Here is a 23,722-nt window from a genome sequence, read left to right on the forward strand (position 1 = left end):
ATAAATGTAAATATATATGATATATGCATAAGCATACATAATTGAATACATTATTGCTATTACTAGACAAACTGCTATCTGTTAGGTCAGCTAAGAATAATAAAAATAGGCCAGGTGCAGTGGCTCATGCTTGTAATCCCAGCACTTTAGGATGCCAAGGTGGGAGAATCGCTGGAGTCCAGGAGTCCAGGATCAGCATGGGCAATATAGTGAGACCTTGTCTGTACAAAAAATTAAAACCAAAAAAATTAGATGGACATGGTGGCACACGACTGTAGTCCCAGCTACTCAGGAGGCTGAAGTGGGAGGGCTGCTTGAGAGCCTAGCAGGTGGAGGTTGCAGTGAGCCAAGACTGCACCGTTGCACTCCAGGCTGGGCAACAAAATGAGACCCTGTCTCAAAGAAAAAAAAAGTTTTTATTTTACCTTCACTTATTCCTTCTTCGATGGTCTTCCCTTTTTTTTTTTTTTTAAATGCAGATCCAAGTTTCTGACCTACATCATTTTCCTTTTTTCTGAGGAACATCTTTTAACATTTCTTGAAAAGCAGGTTTACTGGCAATTAATTCCCTTAATTTTTGTTTGTCTGAAAAATAATTTCTCCTTTGCTTTTGAAAAATAATTTTACAGGATGCAGAATTTTAGGTTGGTGTTTTCTTTTTCTCAACACTTGAAATGTCTTATGGTACTCTCTTTTTGCTTGGTTTCTGAGAAGTAGTTCAATATAATTCTCATCTTTGTTTCTCTATAGATGAGGTGTTCCTTTCCCTCTCTCTGCCTGGCTTCTTTCAGGATTTGTTTTTAGCTCTGATTTTCTGTACTTTGAAAATGATATTCCTAGGTATCTTTTTTTGGGTATTTATCCAGCTTGGTGTTATTTGAGCTTCCTGGATCTGTGGTTTCATGTCTGACATTAGAGGGAAATTCTGAGTAATTGTTTCAAGCATTTCCTCTAATATTTCTCCCTCTTCTCCTGGTATTCCCATTATGGGTACACACCTTCTGTAGTTGCCTCACAATCCTTGGATATTCTGGGTTTTTTTTTTCCAGTCTTTGTTCGCTTTCCTTTTGAAGTTTCCTTGTCACATCTTCAAGCTCAGAGATTTTTTACTAAGTCATGTCCAGTCCACTAGTAAGCCTATCAAAGGCATTCTTCATTTCTGTTACAGTGTTTTTAGTTGCTAGCATTTATTTTTGGTTCTTTCTTAGGATTTCAATCTCTCTGCTTATGTAGCCCATCTGTTCTTGCATGCTGTCTACTATATCCGTTAGAGCCCTTAGCATATTAGCCATAGTTGTTTTAAATTGCCAGTGTGATAGTTCCAACATCCCTGCCATGTCTGGCTCTGATGGTTGCTCTGTCTCTTCATATTGTATGTTTTGCCTTTTAGTATGCCTTGTAATTTTTTCTTGATAGCTGGAAGTGATGTACTGGGTAAAAGTAACTGCTATAAATAGGCCTTTAGTAATGTAGGGGTAGAGTGTGGGGGGTGGGAAAGCATTCTATAGTCCTATGATCAGGTCTCAGTCTTTTAGTGAGCCTGTGCCTCTGGACTGTGAACTTTACAAATGTTTCTCAGATTTTTCCTTTCTCCTTAGGTGGGACAGAATGGCTAAAGTGGACTGGAGTTGGTCATTTTCCTTCTCTCAGGTCAGTTAGGCTCTGATAATATCCCAGCAGGTTAGGCTCTGGTGAACTAGTTTCTTCTGAGGGCAGGTCATTAAGGACAACAGAGTACTCTGGCATATTTAAAAATGGTATTTTTTTCTTCCTCCCACCTGAAGCACAAGGAGATTTTTCTCTTATATTTACCTGGATATTTGGCTGTGGGAATCTGGTTGAGCTCTGGGAAGTAAACCTTAAAATATGTGGGGACCCTCCCTCCATGACTGGGTTCCCCTGGAGGTTTTAACTCTTGGTGTTGTCCACACTGAGCCTCCAGAAATTTGTCAATTACACTTTGAGTTTTCTTACCCAGCATTGGTTCTTGATGCTGTTTCTGCATGTGAGTCCGTTTCAGGAAGCCATTCCTCCTGGTATTTGCCTTTCTGTCTCTCCAATTTTAGGGGCAGCAGTTTGTCCTGTGTCCTCCCTCATCTTATGGACCCAAGAAGAGTTGTTGATTTTTCTGTCTGGTCAACTTTTTAGTTGTTAGGATGGAGTGGTGACTTCCTTACATACAGCACCAAGAAATGGAAGTCAAATGAGAACATTTAATAGAGAGTAAGGATGGGGGTGTGTGCCAAGAATGGCTAAAGAAGGGATAATTTGAGCTGAGTTGTGAAGAATGAGTTGGAATTAAGTAGATGAAATGGATCAGAGAGGTAGAGAGTGGAAGTGAGTTGAAAATGATTTTGGCAAAGGGAATGACAGGGGCAAAAACTTATGGTGAGAGTATGATGTGATGGAGCAACTGAAAGACAGTTGACTGGCTGCTCTGTAGATGTGGGGAGGCAGTGTATTCTAAAGTAGGCTAGAGAGAAAGGAAGGGGTCAAGTAATACAGGGCCTTGTAAGTCATATTAAGGATGTTGACCTTTATGTTAAGCCTGATGGGAAGCCATTAAGTGTTTTGAGCTGGAGGTCAAGGAGAAGTTGAATTATATGATCAGTTTATATTTGGAAAAGATTACTCTGGTTGCCATGTGGGGAATGAATAGGAGGGTCAAGAATACCTATAGCAATAGTCTTGGTGAGAACAAATGGTAGCTTGGTCTAAAACTGGTAATAGTAGAAATGCAGAGGAATGCAATGAATGAGGGGCAACTTGGAGGTAAAATCTACAGATTATGGTGATGGACTGGATGTTAGGGGTGAGGGATAAGAGAAGTCTCAAGGATGACTTCTGAGTTCCTGGCTCATATAACTGAATAGATAGTGGTGCCATTCACTGAGACCGAAATCCTGGATAAAAGACAAGATTTAAGAGAAGAAAGATTGCGGTTTTGGGCAAGTTGAAGGGCCTTTTTGTGATATATAAGCAGGCAGTTGGATAAACGGGTCCAGAATCTCAAAGAGGGGGTGGCAAGGAGTCTGGGTCTGTAAATAAACATTTGGGAATCATCCTGAGTGTGGGTGTGACTGCTGAAGTGGAGAGTATAGAGTGAAAAGAGAAGCAACCTAGGACTGTACCTTGAAAAACCCTACCATTTAATGGTTGGGTGGAGGAGGATAAGCCTGCAAGGGAGACTGAAGAAATGGCCAGACAGTTAGGAGAAAACCCAAATGAGAGTAGTAGTATAAAAGCCAAAAGGAGAGGTGCTTAAACGGGGAGGGAGTGATCAATAGTGTCAGACATGGCTGAGGGCTCAGAATTAAATACGTTTATTGAATGTATTGACAAAGAGACCATTGGTGACTTCAGCAAGAGCTGAAGTGAAAGTCAAACTACTATTTATTACCTTTCACAAATTATCTATTGCAACAAGGATGAAGATAAACTTCAAACTGAGCAAAACACATAAATTAACTTTCATCAGTGTATATATTCATCATTGTATATTCCTGCTGCTTCTGTATGTTTTAGCAAAGTTTAATATTATGTAATTATAGTTCTTAGAAGGCCCTGTCATCATTTTACAGATGTGAACTGGGTAAAAGTTGAGTCCATGGAAGCAGGAAGGCTGTGGGTCTTCCACGTAGCACACTGCTCTTTCCATTGCATTATGCTCTGGGAATATGTTTCTTTGTTCAAATCATCCTTTACTATTCTGCTATACTATTCCATATATCAGTATTTTAATTTTAGAAGATAAGTTTTATAACATCAGGAAACATATCTGTTTTTTGACATTAATGACTTTTTCAAGCATATAGTATTGTATAATTTACAGAACAGGCATGTAGGATTTTTAAATAATGATCATATGTAAGATACAGTATCCTGTTACTTGGCACGGTGTTTAAACATATGGTTTTGAGCGCATGGAATGTTAAGAATTTGAAGCCAAATGAAGGTTGAACTGAATATAGAGTATATGTCTAGGGATTAGTTCTTTATAAGAGTGATTCTTGGCATTTCAGTGTTTGATTGAAATAAGTAAGAACCCTGGCTTCCCTTAAAATATGAAAGTAGTATATCCTTCAATTTGCTTTTTAGACTTGATATTTTTCATTTTGAGATTTAATGATATCCTCTCTGACTCTTTGGGATGTCAGAAAACGTCAAATTTAGAAATTACAGTCTGTAAGCTTTCCAAATCTATTCCGATTGGATTGCAGGGGCCTAAAGCCTCCTAAGGCAAATGATATGCATAGTTTTCTTTCTCTTCAATGAGAAATAGCAAATTTTAGTTTAGAATAATTAGTTCTGCTCTTATGTAATGTTATCTGTTAGGCTTTATGGAATAAAACAGTACAGTGGGCTTGAATATATCATCCAAATGAAGAAAGACAGAATCCTCAAATTTTCAATTAAACTCAGCTGAGTCTTTTCACTGGGGTTTGGTTGCAAACTATACACTTTCTCCTGGCTCTAATGAAATCATTTCATCTTCAGTGTAGTTGTTTTCCTAAAATACGAGCTTTTAGAGGTGAAAGACTGTTAGAGTCATAAATTTAACAATTTTGACTTAATAACTTTGAAAGTTCTCCATGTACATCTGGATACTGAGATTTTGCATTTGTGAATTAATGAAATTTTTGGTCATGATGAAAGTTTTAATTCAGTATACAGTTAGGACTGGTTCTTAGTTCTTAGCAGCCTGTAGTAGAATCTATGGGCTGTGGGGGTGGGGAGGAGTGGGGAACAAGGTAGGGTGGGCAGAGTAAGGGAAATGCCTGATTATAGAAAGTGATTAATGAGGGGCAGAATCTTGGCCCTCGTGCTCACTGTAGCTTGCAGCCCTAATTTTATTAATGGGTGAGTGAGTTTCCATCACCAAACTTGTTCCCAGATAGTCATAAAAGTCATTGCTACTTCTCATCCACCAAACCTGCCCCTTTCCTGGCCTATTAATAAAAATATTTATAACTCTGATATACCAGAATTAAAAGATTGCACTCTCCGTGTTTTAGCTAGTGGTTTAAATTGTTAGAAAAAAGATAAACCAATAAACCAATAAAACAAGCAGTTTCCAAAGTGGAAAAAGGATTGGGCTTTTGTCACCAGCTGCATCTATGTCCCTAAATGGCAAGTTTGTTAATGTCACTGTTCTTGATTTTTTATTTTGAGAATTAAAACGTAACAGTCTTGATTTGCAGAGAGTTCTTAACTGGAAAGTATCTTTGATAAACACATGGTTAGGTCTGGAAGGGCGATGTTAACACAGATATAATTTTCTAGACTTTGAAATATTAGTCATACTACAGTATAGGTTCATATCATACATTAACACTTTCATTATTGGCAACTACCTATTTTTCTACCACACTTGTTTGGAACACAGCTCAGAACAAGAAGATAAACTTGGAAGGCTTTCCTCCAGTCAGTCAAAATTGATAGTGCCAAGTGTATGCATTAATTCAAAGTAAAGCTCCTTGTCCTACTCAAATGTGTGTTTTTAAAAAATTATTATTTGAGGCTGGGCATGGTGGCTCATGCCTGTAATCCCAGCACTTTGGGAGGCCGAGGCGGGTGGATCACCTGAGGTCAGGAGTTGGAGACCAGCCTGGCCAACATGGCGAAACCCTGTCTCTACTAAAAGTACAATTAGCCAGGCATGGTGGCTGGCGCCTGTAATCTCAGCTACTCGGGAGGCTGAGGCAGGAGACTCGTTTGAACCCGGGAGGCGGAGGTTGCAGTGAGCCGAGATCACGCCACTGCACTCCAGCCTGGGTGACAGAGTGATACCCTGTCTCAAAAAAAAAAAAGTTATTTTAGACATACTATTAGTATTTGTTATTTCCAGAACACAGTAGATAAGAAGCAATGAATTATGACTGGTCCAGGAGCCCACAGAGTACTAGTAGAGCAAGTGACAGCTGGTAGCTTAGCAGTGAAAAATGAGAATAAAATGCAGATTTGAGGATTTAGCAAAAATAGAAGTGTAGGAAAAGTTAATGTACACACAACAGCCTTTCACGCCTTAGTGGCCTTTTGCCTTATTCCTGTGTTGTGGAATGGTGTGAGAATGAACGTTCTTATTAATCAGATGGCACAGAATAGACACCCGATAAACGGTTGCTGGGTCATTAAGAAAAGGTTGGGTTATACTTGATTAACTCTCTTTACAGAATAAAGAAAAGGGTGTGACAGAGTTCCCTTTGCTGTAGAAATATTTTCTTTAAAAATGTATTATTATTATTATTTTAAATCACATCTTCTGAACTTAAGGGAGTAAGCCTTAGTTACCAAGAAAATTAACTTTTGGGAATGGCCTTGTTTTTTGTTAATTCTAAATTAATCAGGAATTAATGTCATTTGCTTCCACATTTCATATTTACATTTTTATTTATTAGCACTAAGATACTGTCACATGGGTGCGCATATAAATTGAATAATTTCTGGTTACTTTTGAATTTCAGAAGTCTCTATTATCTGGGGGAATGTATCAGAATTTGTGAGACGGCAGTTAACCCTGCACAAGGTAAGATTTATTAATTTATTAATTTATTAATAAATTAATTTATTAATTTTAATGTAGGCATCTAAAGGATCCTTCCTTCATAGTCTTATATAATGTTGCTGGGAGCAGGGCAGTAGACTTTAGAGCCATCCTGTTTAACTTTCAGTCCTATGTTTTTTGATGCTCATGTTCGGACTTGTGGGTAATAGATTTAACAAACATGAATTTTATTTTTAGGTAATGAATTTGTAAGTTCTGCTCTTCTAGTGTTACAGAGTGTAGTGCTGATCAGCCTGGGTGTGTGTAAGGAAACTAGATGAGTTCTGTTTGTCTGTGATCTGATAGTTCCTGGCATAGCTATAGAAGGATATAACGCTTCTTGTCTTGCCTCCTTGCAGGGAATGGATTTTAACTGAAATAGAAGACTTGCCAAAATGAGAAACTTTGCCTAGGGCTGGACTGTTCCCTCCTGTTAAGTCTTGGGTTTAGATGCCATAGAACTGGACAGAGATTTGGGGATGAGCTTGGGGGAAGCTGGGAAGTTGTGGAACTTTTATACCCCATTCAGAGGTCCTACTATGAGAGCTCTTGGGCAGAATTCATACTTCAAATTTATTTTGTTTTGTTTGAGAATTTGAATTTGTTATCAGCACTTAAACTTGGGAAAAATCATATAATGTTTTGGATTTTTTCCCTCCCTTTCATTGAAAAATCAGCAGATCTAACAGTACTAGTCTTCCATTGCTACGTGGTGACACATTTGGAGCTCAAGATGTGCTCTCCCCTTTAGACGGGGTGTGCAGTCCATAGCCATCACATTCCCTGGCTGGCTACTTTCACTCTCTTGCTTTCTTTTTTGGCTCCTGTAGGCATTTGAGTTTGTAGTTCTTGATGAATGATATCTCCAGGGAGACAGAAACCCAGTATGAGAGGCAAAAACATTTGCTTCTACTCATCAGCCAGGATCACTACATTGCAGCATATGATTTGGATGCTGGTTGTCTGCTGTGGCAGACATAAAATCTAAAAGTAGGAATGAGAAAGCAGAGATTCTCATGCCCTCTTAAATTCCTCTAATGGCAGATGATTAAAATTTAAAATGTCACACAATTTAGGACAGGAGTAATCTGGGTTAAAGATTAAAAGATGCTATGGCATTCACACCAATTTCTTAGCCTTTTGATGATACAGAGATGAGCGATCTGATGTCTGCAAATCATCATGGACCAATGTATTACATTTTATACTAAGCTTATTTGAAAACTTAGAATTATAAAATGCTATAGCTCTGAAGAGTCCTAGAGATCACTGAATTTTTAAGGCCTAAGCTTACTTCTCTTCGTGTTTTTTAGATAATAATATTAAGGATTATTTTTTCTTCACTCCTTCAATGAATTCTGTTTTGTTTTGTTTTTTCCTTTCAGGGGGTTCAGATTCCAGCATTTGGAACTTTCACTTTCATAAGACAAAAGCTTGAGGTGGGAAACAACAAATTTATCTTAATCCAGAGGCCTGTGTTTATCATGGTGGAGAAGCTAGTGCAGATTCATGGACTCAAACAAAACAAAGTATATACTCCTGGTAAATAATTCTGATATGTAGGATTTTCCCAGAAGGTTACTGTCCTGGGGATAAAAAATGAAAGGGCAAAGCGTAGCCAGTGCTGCTGTCTTACCTTCTTATTTGAGGAACTCACTTTTCACAAGGTGCTTTTGGCAGAGGGAGGGGCCAAAGTGGAAAAATAATAGAGTCTTCCTGAAGGCCATTTTAAACCCCAGTAACCTAAGAGGAAGGAGTGAAAAAACCTGATGTAACGTAAAGGAAAATTTATGTAAAAGCCACACCACAGAGCTGTAAGCCCTTTATTTCAGATCCTAAGAAATTAAAAGTGGTTACAAAGAAGAGAAAGTTAATTAGGATCTCTGGTTGGGAGAACTACAGTCAGTATCAGCTGTCAAAAAGATAACTGTCTTTCTATCATATGTATAATCCAAATCATTAAAATTTAAAAGTTAGAAGTTGAATAATTCTATAAAGACTTAATGCATACCTTATATACCTTTCGCATACCCTAAAGCCAACCTCCCTCCCTCCCTCCTTTCCTCCTTCCCTCCTTCCCTCCTTCCTTCCTTCCTTCCTTCCTTCTTCAAATATTTATTGAGAGCCAACTATGTGTCAGACCTTGTTCCAGGTGCTTGAGATATAGTGGTAAACAAAATAGGCATAATCCCTGCCACAGACTGCTTCCATCCAGCTTTAGTGTGTGGGCTTCGTAACACCTCCCTTGGTTACTTAGCAGCCTTTGGGTGCATACTTCCTGATTCCTGGCTGTGTTCCTTTCGACCTTCCTGATTGTCCCCGCCCCCAGCATCAGACTCACTCCTGGATAAATGGAGACAATCTATCTCCGATGGCAACAGGTGAAAAGGCTGAAACTGTCCTCTAAGATAATGTTCCTGAAAGTTAATTTTCAGAGTCACTTGAGTAACTTTCTACTTTCAAAAGAATGATATATTAGAAAAACAAATGTCAACAAACCATACTTAGAATTTCTTAGGTATATATTCAGTATGGTGGGCTTGATGAACTTTTCAGCTATTTTTACCTAGAATTTTTTTTTCTTTTCTTTGTTTCTCCCTTTCATGGGAACAAAAAGAAATACCTAGAGTTTTATGTCAGAAGAAATATATCCTATTTCATCAAAAACCTATTAAAGAAAATGAAAATAAAGCTAACATTTTTGCAAAAACATCTGTGCATTAAAATTAAAGCTCATTTTCTATCTTGGATCTTGTACTGTAGTCCAAAAAAGTAGTTTAGATCTAAAATTATATTTTTTACTGGGTGAGGCAATTTCAGAATTAGACATATATGACTGAATTAGTTCAAAAGAATAATTCTAGGCCGGGCATGGTGGCACATGCAATGGTGGCACATGCTTGCAATCCCAGAATTTTGGAGGCTAAGGAGGGAGGATCACTTGAGGCCAGAAGTTCAAGACCAGCCTTGGCAACATAGCAAGCTCCTGCCTCTACAAAAAATTATTTAAAAAACTTAGACGGGCATGATGGTTCACACCACCAGTCCCAACTACTTGGGAGGCTGAGGCAAGAGGATCACTTCAGCCCAGGAGTTGAAGGCTGCAAAATAATAATAATAATAATAAGATAAATAAGGAAATAAATAAAAATTTAAAACCCCCAAAGAAAAATTTCTGTCTACAGTTTAGCTTTGGGGTTATGATTCTTCATCATTAATTAACTAGGTAACTGTATTAGTCTGTTCTCACACTGTTATAAATAACTAGCTAAGACTGGGTAATTTATGAAGAAAAGAGGCTTAATTGACTCATAGTTCTGCAGGCTTAACAGGAAGCATGGCTAAGAGGCCTCAGGAAACTTACAATCATGGCAGAAGGCAAAGGGGAAGCAAGCACATCTTACCATGGCGGAGCAGGAGAGAGCAAGCATGAAATGGGGAGGCACCACACACTTTTAAACCATGAGATCTCATGAGAACTCACTCACTATTATGAGAACAGCAAGGGGGAAATTCACTCCCATGACCCAATCACCTCCCACCAGGCCCCTCCTCCAATTAGACATGAGATTTGGGCAGGGACACAAATCCAGACCATATCAGTAACTAATCAAACATTTTATAGTGGTTTTTAAATATTAGTAAGACATAGTTCTTTTAAATCTAGCATAGATAATTAATATATAAGAAATGGGTTGGGTACGATGGCTCATGCCTGTAATCCCAGCACTTTCGGAGGCTGAGGCAGGCGGATCACAAGGTCAAGAGATTGAGACCATCCTGGCCAACATGGTGAAACCCCATCTCTACTAAAAATACAAAAAACTAGCTGGGCGTGGTGGTGCATGCCTGTAGTTCCAGCTACTCAGGAGGCTAAGGCAGGAGACTTGCTTGAACCCCAGAGGCGGAGGTTGCAATGGGCTGAGATTGCGCCACTGCACTCCAGCCTGGCGACAGAGTGAGACTCCATCTCAAGAAAAAAAGAAAAAAAATATGATGAAACATGATTAAGTGCTATGAAAGCCAAATTGATCAGAACTGGATCAAATGCTATGACGCCCGGAGGACAGCATGCCTAACTCTGCTTTACGAAGATGACATGTGAAGAGGTCTTAAAGGATGATAGGACTCTGTGAGCAGAGAATCTGTTGGAAGATATTTCAGGAACAATATGAACAAGTCAAGAACATGGAATGAAGCCTGTTAAGGAAGTAACGGGTACTTCCGTATGGCTGAGGCATATGATTGTGGAGGCAGGCAGAGGAAGATAAGATGAAAATGGTAGGTAGGGACCAATTGTGAGGGGCCTTATATGGTGTGATCGGACTTTAGAATTCATCCTGTAGGCACTGAGGAGCCATTGAAAGTTTTTGAGCAGGGAATTATCTGTACAGATAGGATTAATTTAGAAAGATACTCTTTCAGTTACAGTAGTTTGGTAAAATGCAGTAAAAGCCTGAACGAAGACAGTGATCAGGAGGGGAAATGAGGGTATCTACTCATGAGATATTACTCATGAGACATTTCAGATGTAGAATTGTTAGGGCTTAAGTTGAGAGTGGTGGGTAGGAAGAGGAAGGAAGGCGTTTAGTATGACTCAGATTTCTTGGTTGGAGAACAGATGGATGCTCATGCTATCAATTACCTTTATAGAGAATGAAGGGGAAAGGTGGATTTCGGTGGTGGATAAAATAGTGAATTTGCTTTTGCACATGCTGAATTTGAGATACATGTGGGGATATTTAGGTAGAGGTGATACCAGAGCTTAGGAGAAGAGTGGAGACTAGAGATCAAGATTTGGATGTTTACCTAGGAGAGAATATATACTCAGCAGAAGAGATAAACAAGGACAAAATCCTATAAAACAAATAAACAAACCTCAGTATCTTATAAGAAGTAGAAGAGGAGGGAAGCCAGCAAAGGGGGCCAAGGAGTCAAACTATCCATTGACTTGACAATCTATGAGATGATAGTGTCCTAACTCAGATAAGTGATCTGAAAGACAGATTGCAGAGAGGCAGTGGGCAAATGGGAGGAGAAAATCCAGAGGCAGGCAAGACAGCCTTCTTTTTAAGAAATGTGTATTTTTTTTAAAAATGGAGGGTGGTGGTTAGAATTATTGTTAAATTGTGCAGGAGACAGCAGGCTGATGCAGTGAAGCTCAGGTCTTGTTAATTTTCATCATTTAGCAGTGGTGGACATTTGAAAGGATATAACTCATGCTTACTGAGTGAATGTTTAGAATATTCTCATCTTCTCTATGTCCTCTTTATCAGTGGACCTTGTTGTTGTCTCTCTTTGGCTTTGTCATCTTGATCCTCTTTGCTATTTACCCTTTTTCTGACTCGTGAACCTTGTATTGCTCCTACATCTGTTCTAGTTGGATAGACCCTGTGCTTCTTTCAAGCTAGATATAATCGTATTCCTTTGTAGTGTCATATATGGGCTCATTAGAGAGGAAAAGCTTTCTGTGAGTCATTTAGTCTGATACCCTTGTATAAGACCCTATTTCATTTAAATGATAACTTCTAGTGAAGATGGGTATCTTTTCAAAATATTTAACACTTGTAGGTATTTGTAATCATGTAAAAATGGCATGATAACTGGAGGAGATAGGCAAATGTATCAGTTCATTCTTGCATTGCTATAAAGAAATACCTGAGACTGGGTAATTTATAAAGAAAAGAGGTTTAACTGACCCACGTTTCCACAGGCTGTACAGAAGTATGGCTGGGGAGGCCTCAGGAAACTTACAATCATGGCAGAAGGTGCAGGGGAAGCAGTCATGTCTTACAAGGCTGGAGCAGGAGTAAGAGGGAGGATGGAGGGAGGTGCTACACACTTTTAAACAACCAGATTTCATGATAGCTCACTCATTATCATGAGGACAGCACCCAGGGGGATGGTGTTAAACCATACATGAAGGATCCACCCCCATGATCCAATCACCTCCCAATAGGCCCCACCTCCAACACTGGGGAATACAATTCAACATGAGATTTGGGTGGGGACACAGATCCAAACCATATCAGCAAATATTGCTGCAGTATGTCCTAAAAGATAAGGGGGATGAAAACTTTAGGAAACCCTCTGAGGAAGAGAATCAGTTGATTATTATATGTTTCCTAGAGAAAATCAAAAGCTTGTCTACAGTGTTATTTAGAAAGCTAACTGTTCTTATTTTGAGCATTGAACCTTATACTTTTAGAGAAAATTGTACTGATTAATATGTTAGTAACTACTTAATTGTCTGCAGTAATAATATTACATTGGGTACAACTAAAAGCTTCATCCAGAAGATTCTATTTTAGGGCATTGAGAATCAGATAATTATTTGTGAGTGTGTATGATATGTCCTTATGGTAATCACCACTTTCTTTCTCCCACCCCAACTGTCTTTTCTCCTTTAGGTGAAATCCCAATTGTTCCACTTAATTTTGTCATGATATCCCTGGAGGGTCCATTTAACAGAGATGTAGTGGAAGGATGTGTGAAGGAGACGTTGCTTTTTTTATCGCGTTCCATTTCCATGAAACAAAATGTGGAGTTTACATTCAAAGGAATTGGGGTCCTCATGATCAGAGACAGCAAAGTGAAGATGAGGTTTTATAAAGACTTCCTTTGTACCATGGATGGAAGTGGGGCTTTGGCAAAGGCCCTAGCAAATGTAAATTAATATTTTCCTTCTCCTAAGTCTTCTCCTAATTGTGGTTCTGACTCATCTATAGGTGTGTTGTAATTAAGAAAAACGAAGGTTGACATATTTTGAGTGACAGTTACCTGAAGTACATGGAAGTGCTTGTTTATACTTGATTAACTCTTTGACAAAAAAGATCAGGAAGGCAAAGGAACATTAAGAATCAAAGTCAATTGAGGGATATAAATAGTAACGGAAACTCTTAGAATTCTGAACATTTTATAGTACCTTATAGGTTTTTTGTTTGTTTTTTGAGACAGAGTCTCACTCCGTCACCCAGGCTGGAGTGCAGTGGCACGATGTTGGCTCACTGCAACCTCCACATGCCGGGTTTGAGTGATTCTCCTGCCTCAGCCTCTCAAGTACCTGGAATTACAGGTGCGCGCCACCATGCCCAGCTAATTTTTGTATTTTTAGTAGAGACAAAGTTTCACCATGTTGGCCAGGCTGGTCTCGAACTCCTGGTCTCAAGTGATCTGCCTGCCTTGACCTCCCAAAGTGCTGAGATTACAGGCATGAGCCTCCATGCCTGGCGTATGGTTTAAAAACTTCTTCCACATGTATTATTTCATTTGAGCCTCAAAATAGCATACAAGCAGCATTATTATCATCCTAATTTTACAATTGAGAAAAGTAGGGGCTCAGAGAGGCTATGTGGGAATCCCAAGGTGAACTAGAACTGGAATTCAAGCCCAGACTTCCTAACCACTTGGTTTTTGCTGGTTCTACTATTTTATTTTTTAATGTTGGTTCTACTATTTTATTTTAATGAAAGTTCTATAACAAAATCTAATTTGAGTCATGGAGTTTTTGAATCTTTAGCTTTTAATTTGCCATGTTGTAGAAGAAATTTCCTAATTGGCATCATTATTGTCAACCATTAAGTAGCTGGTGTGACCTTCATGCTAAGTTGGATACAGCAGAGTTTAAACAAATGAAATAGTCAATCTACCAGACTTACTGAATACTTAGTGTGCCTCAGGTACTCCTCTGGAAACTAACAAAGTAGACATGAATGAATTGAATTATTATGGAATGTTATATAATCCTATATCCCATAAAGCCAAACTCTGATTTTTTTAATGAAAAGGCTATTAATATCATCTCAGTCTACCCATTTCTCCTTTTATGAAGCTTTGGGATGGGGATTTAGGAAATGAAGTTGTGCATAATGAAACTCCTGGTGTTTTCTACACAATCTGGTTTCATACAGGATTGCTAAGAGGATTGCCAACCCTGTGTGTGGAAAGTGGGAAACACATGCAGGAAAAACCCTTGCTTTTCCATGAAAACACAAGGCAAGATTTGCAAGTCCATAAGCAAGGCCAAAGTGGCTAGCTCATCTCTAACCCTCAGGGATTCTGCTGAACTTTGTAGCTTCAATACGTGTTTAAAAGAGAAGACAGCATTTTCCTTGACCTGCTGAACTGTAAAGCACATCTTTTACAGAACGTTTTCCAAAAGAACTAGTCCTGAAAAATACTCTATGAAAAAAGGGTTTGGAGGTCAAAGCTGACTGAAAACTGCTGATCGAATCAGTCACCCTCATGGACAGAGGGACAGAGCACATCAGCATGTTAAAGGAGCTGAGAAGTCTGGCTGGAAAGCAGTCAGTTTAACTGCCTGAATGTATTTAATCATGGAATTGTAGGTTAATCCAATATCTCATTAGCTCTGTAAGACACATTTTGGAAAACTGCTGTGAAGTGGTGTGAGTGAGAGTTTATTCCCAAATGACCCGTAACTTAAAACTGTCTTGTAGGGTAGTCCCCTTGGAAAGCTGTGTGCTTATTTCAGTAATGCTGCTTTTATTAGAAATATTTTCTATACTTCTTTTTGGGAATTCACTTCAAAGGCTTTTGTAAGTGATAGCATTCATGCAAAAATAATAATTTTATATATTATTCTACAGTTAAAATGTGACAATGTGACTATTATGTTTACAGTTACATGAGAATTAAAATAGTCATTTGTTCAGTATTTACTATGTGCTAGCTACTTACATAGAGGACCTCATGGAAGTGCTATTAGATCCTTTTATTATCCCCAGAAACCTAGTGCCTAAGGCCACATGCCTGTTAGCAGTGTGGGGATTTGAACATGAGCCCACCTGACTCGAAAGCTTTTCTCTTAATTGCCTAATTTTAGTTATTTGGGTCAAGAGTGGAATTAGACAGCTTGCTCACTTTCCAGATATTTTTACAAAGTCTGCTATCTTCTTAAAGACATCTAAAAGAATCTGTCAACTCTGAAGGCAATTCCCTAAAAGGAAATGGTTTGAGAAAAGGCAACACCGAAAGAATTGCTGTGCAGCTACCCAGGGTGATTGCTCTGATGAATGAGATCATTCCTCATTGGATTTTTAAGCTCTGGACTTATAAGCGCTTAACATAAACAACAACAAGAAAAGTATCGTGGTAGCCTTGCCTATGAGCCTGCAGTTTTTAATTTGTCTGAGTCCTGGACCTCAGCCTAGATGTAACCTTGCTCTGTTGCTGTCCTCTAGAGGCCTGGCACTGTGGACTCGGTGTTGTCTAGCAGAGAGGCCTTGAGGAAGTGGCCCAGCAGTGTGCTTGCGTTTCCAAGGTGAGTGCTTTGCTTCACGGGTTCCTCTAGGCACTAGCACTCCTTGCTGATCTGCTGATCTCATTGGGCAGTGTTTCTCAATGTTTTGTAGCTCATGTTCCTTTTAATGTATTCTGTCTGTCTCTCCCTCTCTAAATCCACCAACAAAGAAGAGTTTATTGCATACACTTTCTGTAGTTAAGTTAAATAACAATGGACATTTATTCTTTTTTATCCCCCCTCACCGCGACGGAGTCTTGCTCTGTCACCCAGGCTGGAGTGCAGTGGCACGATCTCTGCTCACTGCAACCTCGGTCTCCTGGGTTCAAGCAATTCTCTCCTGCCTCAGCCTTTGGAGTAGCTGAGATTACAGGCGCACGCCACCATGCCTGGCTAATTTTTGTACTTTTAGTAGAGATGAGGTTTCACCATATAGGCCAGGCTGGTCTCGAACTCCTGGTCTCAAGTGATCCATCCGCCTCGGCCTCCCAAAGTGCTGAAATTACAGGCGTGAGCCACCAGGCCTGGCCCATTTACTCTTTTTTAAAACTACCCTTGGCTCCTGGAAATTCTGATACTACCTTCCATTAACCTTAGTCCCTGCAGTATTAGTAAAACTCTTCTCACCTGCTGAACTTTCCACTACTTTGTACCACTTCTTCTGCCCTAGCTGCTGCTTCTTCCTTCAGTTCAGCCCATTTCCTGTCCTTGCTCGGATTTTTACCACTAAACGGGTTAAACAGATAAGTTAGAATAAGGAAACAGCTTTACTCCATGAGCACAGTGGTTGTTACTGGTGGTTGCATATTACTGTATTTAATCTTCACGACAACCATGTGACTTATGTATTATAATTCTCCATTTTATCATGATACAAAATTAATTTTAATTTTTTTCTTTTACATGAATGAAGCAACATGGTGCACTATTGAGAACACTGGAGTAGGAGTCAGGAGACTTTAGTTTTATTTCCAGTTTGGCCATCACTTATTCATTGTGTGCCCTTAATTATGTTAATAATCTTAATTGCTGTGCCATTAACCACTGTGCATTTCAGGTGGAGGAAGTTTGGGGAATAACAACTAGCTTCCTAAAGCATTATTACTTTAGGAAGTATGAGTAAAGTATAAAAGTATGAGAATTTCTGAGATGTTTTGAGTGTGACATTCTCTTGTTTGTTGCTTTGGAACAACCCCCTCCTGGAAGAGCTGTATGACACATACCTCAGAAGATTCAGTGTGAAGTCCAGAGTAAGCCTTAGAGGTTGTTTTCCAACCGCCTCATCTTGCACACGAAATGGCCATGCAACTAATAAGCAGCCAAGCTTATAGAAATAAAACCATGGCTCCTGGTCCAGTGTTCTTTCCATTGCACCATATTGCCTTACTCACTAAAAATAAATCAGTGGATTGAAAAGAATTTTATTTTGATGGTTTCGGAAGGCAAACATGGCTGTTCCCTTTGACATATTTTGGCTTAGGCACTCCAGGAGGGAAATAATTATAGTGGGTCAAAGAACAGAGATGGAGTCGCCATCAAGTCAAGGGCCTAGAAATGGACATGGGGACTTAAATACTCAAAACAATTGTTGGTGTTTTATTTATGTGACATTTGGCCCCTGAATTGACTGAAGGTACCCCCACCCCCACTCCCTACTCCAACCTAGTACTCCATACCTGAGGCCAAAGAAATCCTACAACTACACACACCAACTGAACATCCCCCTTCCTCCCTGCTGCAAATTGTAGCTTTGCAAGTCCTTCACTTTTGCCTGGGGAGAGAATGATGAAGTGAAGTGGCAAAGGAGGGAGGAGACAAATGGTTATTTTGGGGCATACTCTACCAGGCTATGAATCTTTGCCTTCAAGCTATCCAACAACCTTTTTTCCACTGTATCACCCCATAGCATCTAGTTAAAGAAGTAGGATATAAAAATTCAAATTGAAACAAAAACCAATAACCTAAATAAAGGACTTTAAGGCAATTTCTCTATATGCAAGCTGCTTTGAGACTATGGTATAGAGGGAAAGGCCTTGGTCAGCTTCCAGAAAGCCTTGGAGAAAATTAATCTATGATATGTACTTAGCACATCAGAGCACTCACCCCTTGAAGAAAGTGGGCTTATTTCAGAATCAGCCAGCTGGCTGGGTTGCTTCCAAAACTTGAGAGTTCACACAGTTACCTGTTCAGGTTCAGTGCAGCAGAAAAACATATTGGCTCATTCCTAGGATTGAGCTCAAGGAGATGGAAAACAAACTGCCTATGGAGACCCTTGTAGAAGAATGTGGAGAGAATAGAGAAAGGAAGTGCAAGTTAAAAGACCAGTCAGACAAAGAAGAAGGCACCAGAGGTAGGCCAATGATTTCTGGGTCCAATCTGTCACTCTTTACTGCTATGAGCCCAGCCATATTGCTTAGCCCAAGGTAAATAAAGTTAAATTTACAAATAATCACTATATTATTATTACTTTTTTTTTTGAGATGGAGTCTCGCTGTTGCCCAGGCTGTAGTGCAGTGGCATAATCTCAGCTCACTGCAACTTCCACCTCCCAGGTTCAAGCGACTCTCCTGCCTCAGCCTCCCGAGCAGCTGAGATTACCATCATGTGCCACCATGCCTGGTTAATTTCTTTATCTTTTGTATAGATGGGCCAGGCTGGTCTCAAACTCCTGGCCTGAAGTGATCCGCCCACCTAGGCCATCCAAAGTGCTGGGATTACAGGCATGAACCACCGCACCCAGCCACAAATAATCACTATATTATTTCTAACAAATACGTTCTATTCCTAGAATCCTGCATTTGACCTTAATTATGAGCTTACTTACTTTATGAGCCTTAGATCCTATGACTCTCAGGCTCTTAGATCATCATCTCTTTGCTGGCTCCCCATTGCTCAAAGGGGCCAAAACTCAGATGACTGCAGGCAGGTAACGCAAATGCAGGAAGTGGTCTGGATGTAAGTGGGTTGGAGACATGTTAGCTTAGTTAACATTTCTAATGAAAAACAAAGAGTGGCAGTTTTATCACTTTGATGTCTGTAGAAGAAAGCTGGATTCTCATACCTATGTCTGCATCTAATCTGTTGTGATAGGTTGTTTTGGTGGAAGCAAATGAAGAAAATCCTAGGACTCCAAAGATTTTTTTTTTTTTTAACCAAAGACTTTTTATTTTCTTTTTGAGATGGAGTCTCGCTCTGTCACTCAGGCTGGAGTTCAGTGGCACAATCTGGGCTCACTGCAACCTCCGCCTCCTGGGTTCAGGTGATTCTCCTGCGTCCAAGCTATTCTCCTGCATCAGCCTCCCTGGAAGTAGCTGGGACTACAGGCGCGCACCACCACGCCCAGCTAATTTTTGTATTTTTAGTAGAGATGGGGTTTCACCGTATTGGCCAGGCTGGTCTCAAACTCCTGACTTCAGGTGATCCGCCTGCCTTGGCCTCCCAGAGTGCTACAATTACAGGTGGGAGCCACCACACGCAGCCACAGACATTTTGAAAGGGTCCTAGGGACCCCAAAAAGTATGGCTTGCCAGGCCACACTTTGAGGACTGTTCCTCTAGCAGATTGTTGCTTTGCGGAAATGTGGCCCAAGTGATATCAGATCTTCTAATTTTTCTAATTTTACTATATGTGCTACTAAAGTGAGCACAATCTTCTGATTTTTCAAAAGAAGCAGAGATCCTGACTTTAATGTAAAATCTATTGGCTGTTAAAAGTTGACGACTTTTGTTGATATTGAAACAAAAAATGCTAATTAGGCCAAACAAAACATACCAATGGGTGAACATTGGCTTGTGCATGTCTGTTTTCTACGTGTGGCCTACAGGATTGCATATCAACTTTTAGCCTAATATTCATATGCTTTTATTTCTCTAGTCTCATCTCCCACTGTGCCCTATAGAGACCCCTTTTTTGGGAAAAATTATCTATTCATGTTCTTCTTTTTCTTTGAGGTGGGGTCTTGCTCTGTCACCCAGGGTGGAGTGCACTGTCTTGGCTCACTGCAGCCTCAACCTCTTGGGCTCAGGTGATCCTCCCACCTCAGCCTCCTGAGTAGCTAGGACCACAGGTGTGCGCCACCATGCCTGGCTAATTTTTGTACTTTTTGTAGAAACAGGGTTTTGCCATGTCGCCTAGGCTGGTTTTGAACTCCTGAGCTCAAACGATCTGCCCACCTCGGCCTCCCAAAGTGTTGGGATTACAGGCGTGAGCCACTATGCTTGGCCTATTCATGCTCTTCTAACATGCCTGCCCTTCCCCAACTTCATCCTTTTGTTCATTTTTTTTTTCCTGCAGCCTGAATTGTCCTTCCTTTTCTTTCAATCTATCTCCATCCTACTCACCTTTTAGTACCCTTTTCACATCTCACTTTCTCCATGAAAACTTATCACTGAATTCTGAAGTGGCTTCTCTCCTCTGAACATATCAGATCCTTAAAGACTACAACATTTGGCTGGGCATGGTGGCTCACGCCTGTAATCCCAGCACTTTGGGAGGCTGAGGTGGGTGGATCACCTGAGGTCAGGAGTTCGAAGCCAGCCTGGCCGACATGGCGAAACCCCATCTCTACTACTACTACAAAAAAAAAAAAGTTAGCTGGGAGTAGTGGTGTGCACCTGTTATTCCAGCTACTTGGGAGGCTGAGGTGGGAGAATTGCTAGAACCTGGGAGGCAGAAGTTGCAATGAGCTGAGATTGGGTTACTGCACTCCAGCCTGGGCGACAGAGTCAGACTCCATCTCAAAAAAAAAAAAAAAAAAGAAAAAGACTGCAACATTTATTTGTGACTTATACATTTTGCATCACTGTCCTAAGTTGTTATTTATTAAATGTATATTATAAAGCACTTAGCACTGTTAGCACATAAGATGACCTCCAAATGGGAGCTCTCACTTTTTTGTTTGTATCTTATTTTTCTCTTCAACTATATCTATCGAAAGATCTTTACAGGCAAAATGTCTAAATCTACAGATATCAAAGTTGTAAAACTACCACTGTTCATTTTTCATGAGAAATGTTAACTAAACTAACACGTCTCCTGGTCATGTTATATCCAGCCCACTTCCTGCATTTATGTTATTGCCTCTTTTTGTCCTCTAAATGCTTAGCACAGTGCTTTCTTTGCGAATATACAGCAAAAACATTTTTTTATACCACAATAGAACAAGGGGTGATTATTTAAAGATAAGAGAGTGTATCTTATATGAAAATTTCCCTTGGTAAAAACTACACAGTTAGTGGTTTGAGAGTTGAAAGGAGACTCGTTTTCATTCATTCTTTATTCTACAGATATCTCATCACCCAAAAGACTTCGAGATAGACAAGCTTTGTTCCCTGCCAAAGTGACAAATGTCAGCTTGCTGGAAAAGTTTGAACGAAGTGAGAGTGGTGGGAAGATTATGACCCCTGAAAGGTAATGCATTGACTTTTTTTTTTCTGTTGTACTTTACTAAATATATTTTTGAGTCGTTGCTTGATGCGGGGAACTGTAATTGTTCATTAATTCATTTATCCAGTGTTCTTTAGAGCTTTCTATATGCAACATGATGGGAATAATAAAGGTGACCAAGGTTCACCATCTAGTGGGAAAGCCAGACATATGCAGAGGGATAAATTACGATTCAGTGGAATAGATGTTATGACACAGGCGGAAACAAAATAGCACAGAGTTGGGATCATCCAACTTTTTCTGTAGATTTGGGCTTCCCAAATCTACAAAACTTTCATGTTTTCCGAGTGCTTGGATATTATGATGTGACACAATGTTATATTTACATCAAATTGGAAAGTAGTTTTGCCAAACATAGCCAGCACTCCATTAGTTCTCAATAAACATTACTTGAATGAATGAGTGTATTACAATTTATCATGGTCGTTTTCTTCTTGTGATGGTATGTCAAAAGATTTCTAAAATATTTTATCCTTCTCTCTGAGTAGGATACTTTTTAAGACCTCAAATCAGTCAACCATACTCAACCATGCTCATTCATTGTTTACTGAGCACCTAACTATGTACTTTGCATTGTGCTGCCAACCTTTAATTTATTAATGTGTCAAAATTTATCAGCTATCATATGTGCAATTTATGTACTTTGTGGATTACTAAAGTCATGTTAAAAACTCTAGGAATGCTTGTTTTGGATAATATCACTGTTATGAAAGATAATTGAGAATTAGATGTATAGTACTTGGGAATTTAATTCAATACAACAAATATTGAGCACCACCATGTGCCAGGTAATATTCTAGGCACTGAAGATTCAGAGTTACAGATGTATAAACCTGCTTTTATAAAACTTACAGTGTTGCAGGAAGACTGAAATTAAAAAAAAAATGCATGCGACGAAGACAACAAAAGTACAGAGGCTGCAAAAGGACAGAGTAATTGTTGGAAGTGGTTGGTAAAGGTTTCCTATAGAAGTTGACTCAAAAATGTTTGTTTCCTGTAGAAGTTAACCAAAAAATAGGCCAGGCGCAGTGGCTCACGCCTGTAATCCCAGCACTTTGGGAGGCCGAGGCAGGCGGATCACGAGGTCAGGAAATCAAGACTATCCTGGCTAACACGGTGAAACTCTGTCTCTACTAAAATAAAAAAAATTACCCGGGTGTGGTGGTGAGCGCCTGTAATCCCAGCTACATGGGAGGCTGAGGCAGGAGAATGGCGTGAACCCGGGAGGTGGAGGTTGCAGTGAGCCAAGATAGTGCCACTGCTCTCTAGCCTGGGTGACAGAGCAAGACTCTGTCTCAAAAAAAAAAAAAAAAAAAGAAGTTAACCAAAAAATGTTTTTTTGTGCTGATTACTAAAACAACACGTTTATCATAGAAATTTTGAGAAAACCAAAAAAGCAAGAGTTATAAAAAATCACCCATAATCCCTCTACATAGAGGAAACTTTATATTAACCTTATGATGTATGTCGTTTATTTCAATGCATATACAATATATACAGATACTTACACTTGGAATATACACAGTTTTTAAATAAAATTGAGATATTATATGGATTTTTGTTACATTTAATAAGTGGTGATTTCCCCATGACATTAAATATTCTAAAACCTTAACAAATAATTGCACATCATCTTAATGAAAGGTTAAACCTTTTGTTTAACCAATCTCCTATTGGATATTTAGATGGCTTCCAGTTTTTAAGTACTATAAATAATGTTGTGAAAATATAATTAAACATAATTCCTTGCATACAACTGGATATTCCATAGGATAAAAACTTTAAAGTTAAATTTCAGAGATAAGAGGTGAGTCCATTTTCATGCCTTTGATACACATTTCCAATTATCTTCTTCATGGTTGTAGCAAATTATCCTCTCAGCAACAGTAATATGAGAGAGTGCTATATTTTCTACAGCTTTGCTAATACCATAGCAAAGTGAAATGATGGTATTTCATTATTGTTTTTAACCTATGTTTGTTTGATTTCTAGTGGGTTTTTTTGTTTTGTTTTGTTTTTGAGATAGCATCTCACTCTGTCACCAAGGCTAAAGAACAGTGGCATGATCATGGCTCACTGCAGCCTCAACCTGCTGGGCTCAAGTGATTTTCCTGCCTCAGACCCCGAGTAGCTGGGACTATAGGTGTGCACCACCACACACCAGCTAATTTTTTGATTTTTTTTTTTTTTTTTTTTTGTAGAGATGGGGTCTTAGTATGTTGTGTAGGCTGGTCTAGAACTCCTGGCCTCAAGCAATCCTCCCACTTCGGTCTCTCAAAGTGCTGGGATTACAGGCATGAGCCACCACACCTGGCCTGCATTTATTTTTATCTTGTTTCTTGGCCATTTGTAGTTCTTTTACAGTTTTCCTGCTTGAATCCTGTGTCCTTTTTTAACTGGGAGCTTTACTTTTTCTTAAAAAAAAGTTGTATTTTTATAAAGAGAACTTCATATATCATAAGTATGAATAG

The 23,722-nt window shown here is 39.4% G+C and overlaps 1 protein-coding gene and 1 long non-coding RNA gene across 4 annotated transcripts in view; one reads left to right on the forward strand and one right to left on the reverse strand.

Moving 5' to 3' along the window:
• LOC105369421 (uncharacterized) overlaps positions 1–16,514 on the reverse strand; it is a 60,137-nt gene extending 43,623 nt beyond the window's left edge. Inside the window, exons 1-2 of one of the 2 annotated variants that reach the window (XR_007062826.1) lie at positions 16,434–16,514; positions 8,181–8,287 (exon numbers count right to left, since the gene is read on the reverse strand). This is a non-coding gene — a long non-coding RNA (uncharacterized LOC105369421). Of the gene's footprint in view, positions 1–8,180; positions 8,288–8,686; positions 8,790–16,433 lie in introns of those variants that run through there. The other variant, XR_007062825.1, reaches the window with a different exon arrangement.
• CCDC81 (coiled-coil domain containing 81) overlaps positions 1–23,722 on the forward strand; it is a 48,220-nt gene that overhangs the window by 4,700 nt on the left and 19,798 nt on the right. Inside the window, exons 2-7 of one of the 2 annotated variants that reach the window (NM_001156474.2) lie at positions 6,465–6,526; positions 7,930–8,086; positions 12,955–13,211; positions 15,748–15,827; positions 18,035–18,156; positions 21,092–21,215. In NM_001156474.2, the coding sequence (NP_001149946.1) occupies positions 6,465–6,526; positions 7,930–8,086; positions 12,955–13,211; positions 15,748–15,827; positions 18,035–18,156; positions 21,092–21,215 (802 nt within the window). The remainder of the gene's footprint in view (positions 1–6,464; positions 6,527–7,929; positions 8,087–12,954; positions 13,212–15,747; positions 15,828–18,034; positions 18,157–21,091; positions 21,216–23,722) is intronic. The other variant, NM_021827.5, reaches the window with a different exon arrangement.

This window comes from Homo sapiens, chromosome 11 (genome assembly GCF_000001405.40).
Source record: "Homo sapiens chromosome 11, GRCh38.p14 Primary Assembly".
In the NCBI taxonomy this organism is placed as follows: Eukaryota; Metazoa; Chordata; class Mammalia; order Primates; family Hominidae; genus Homo; species Homo sapiens.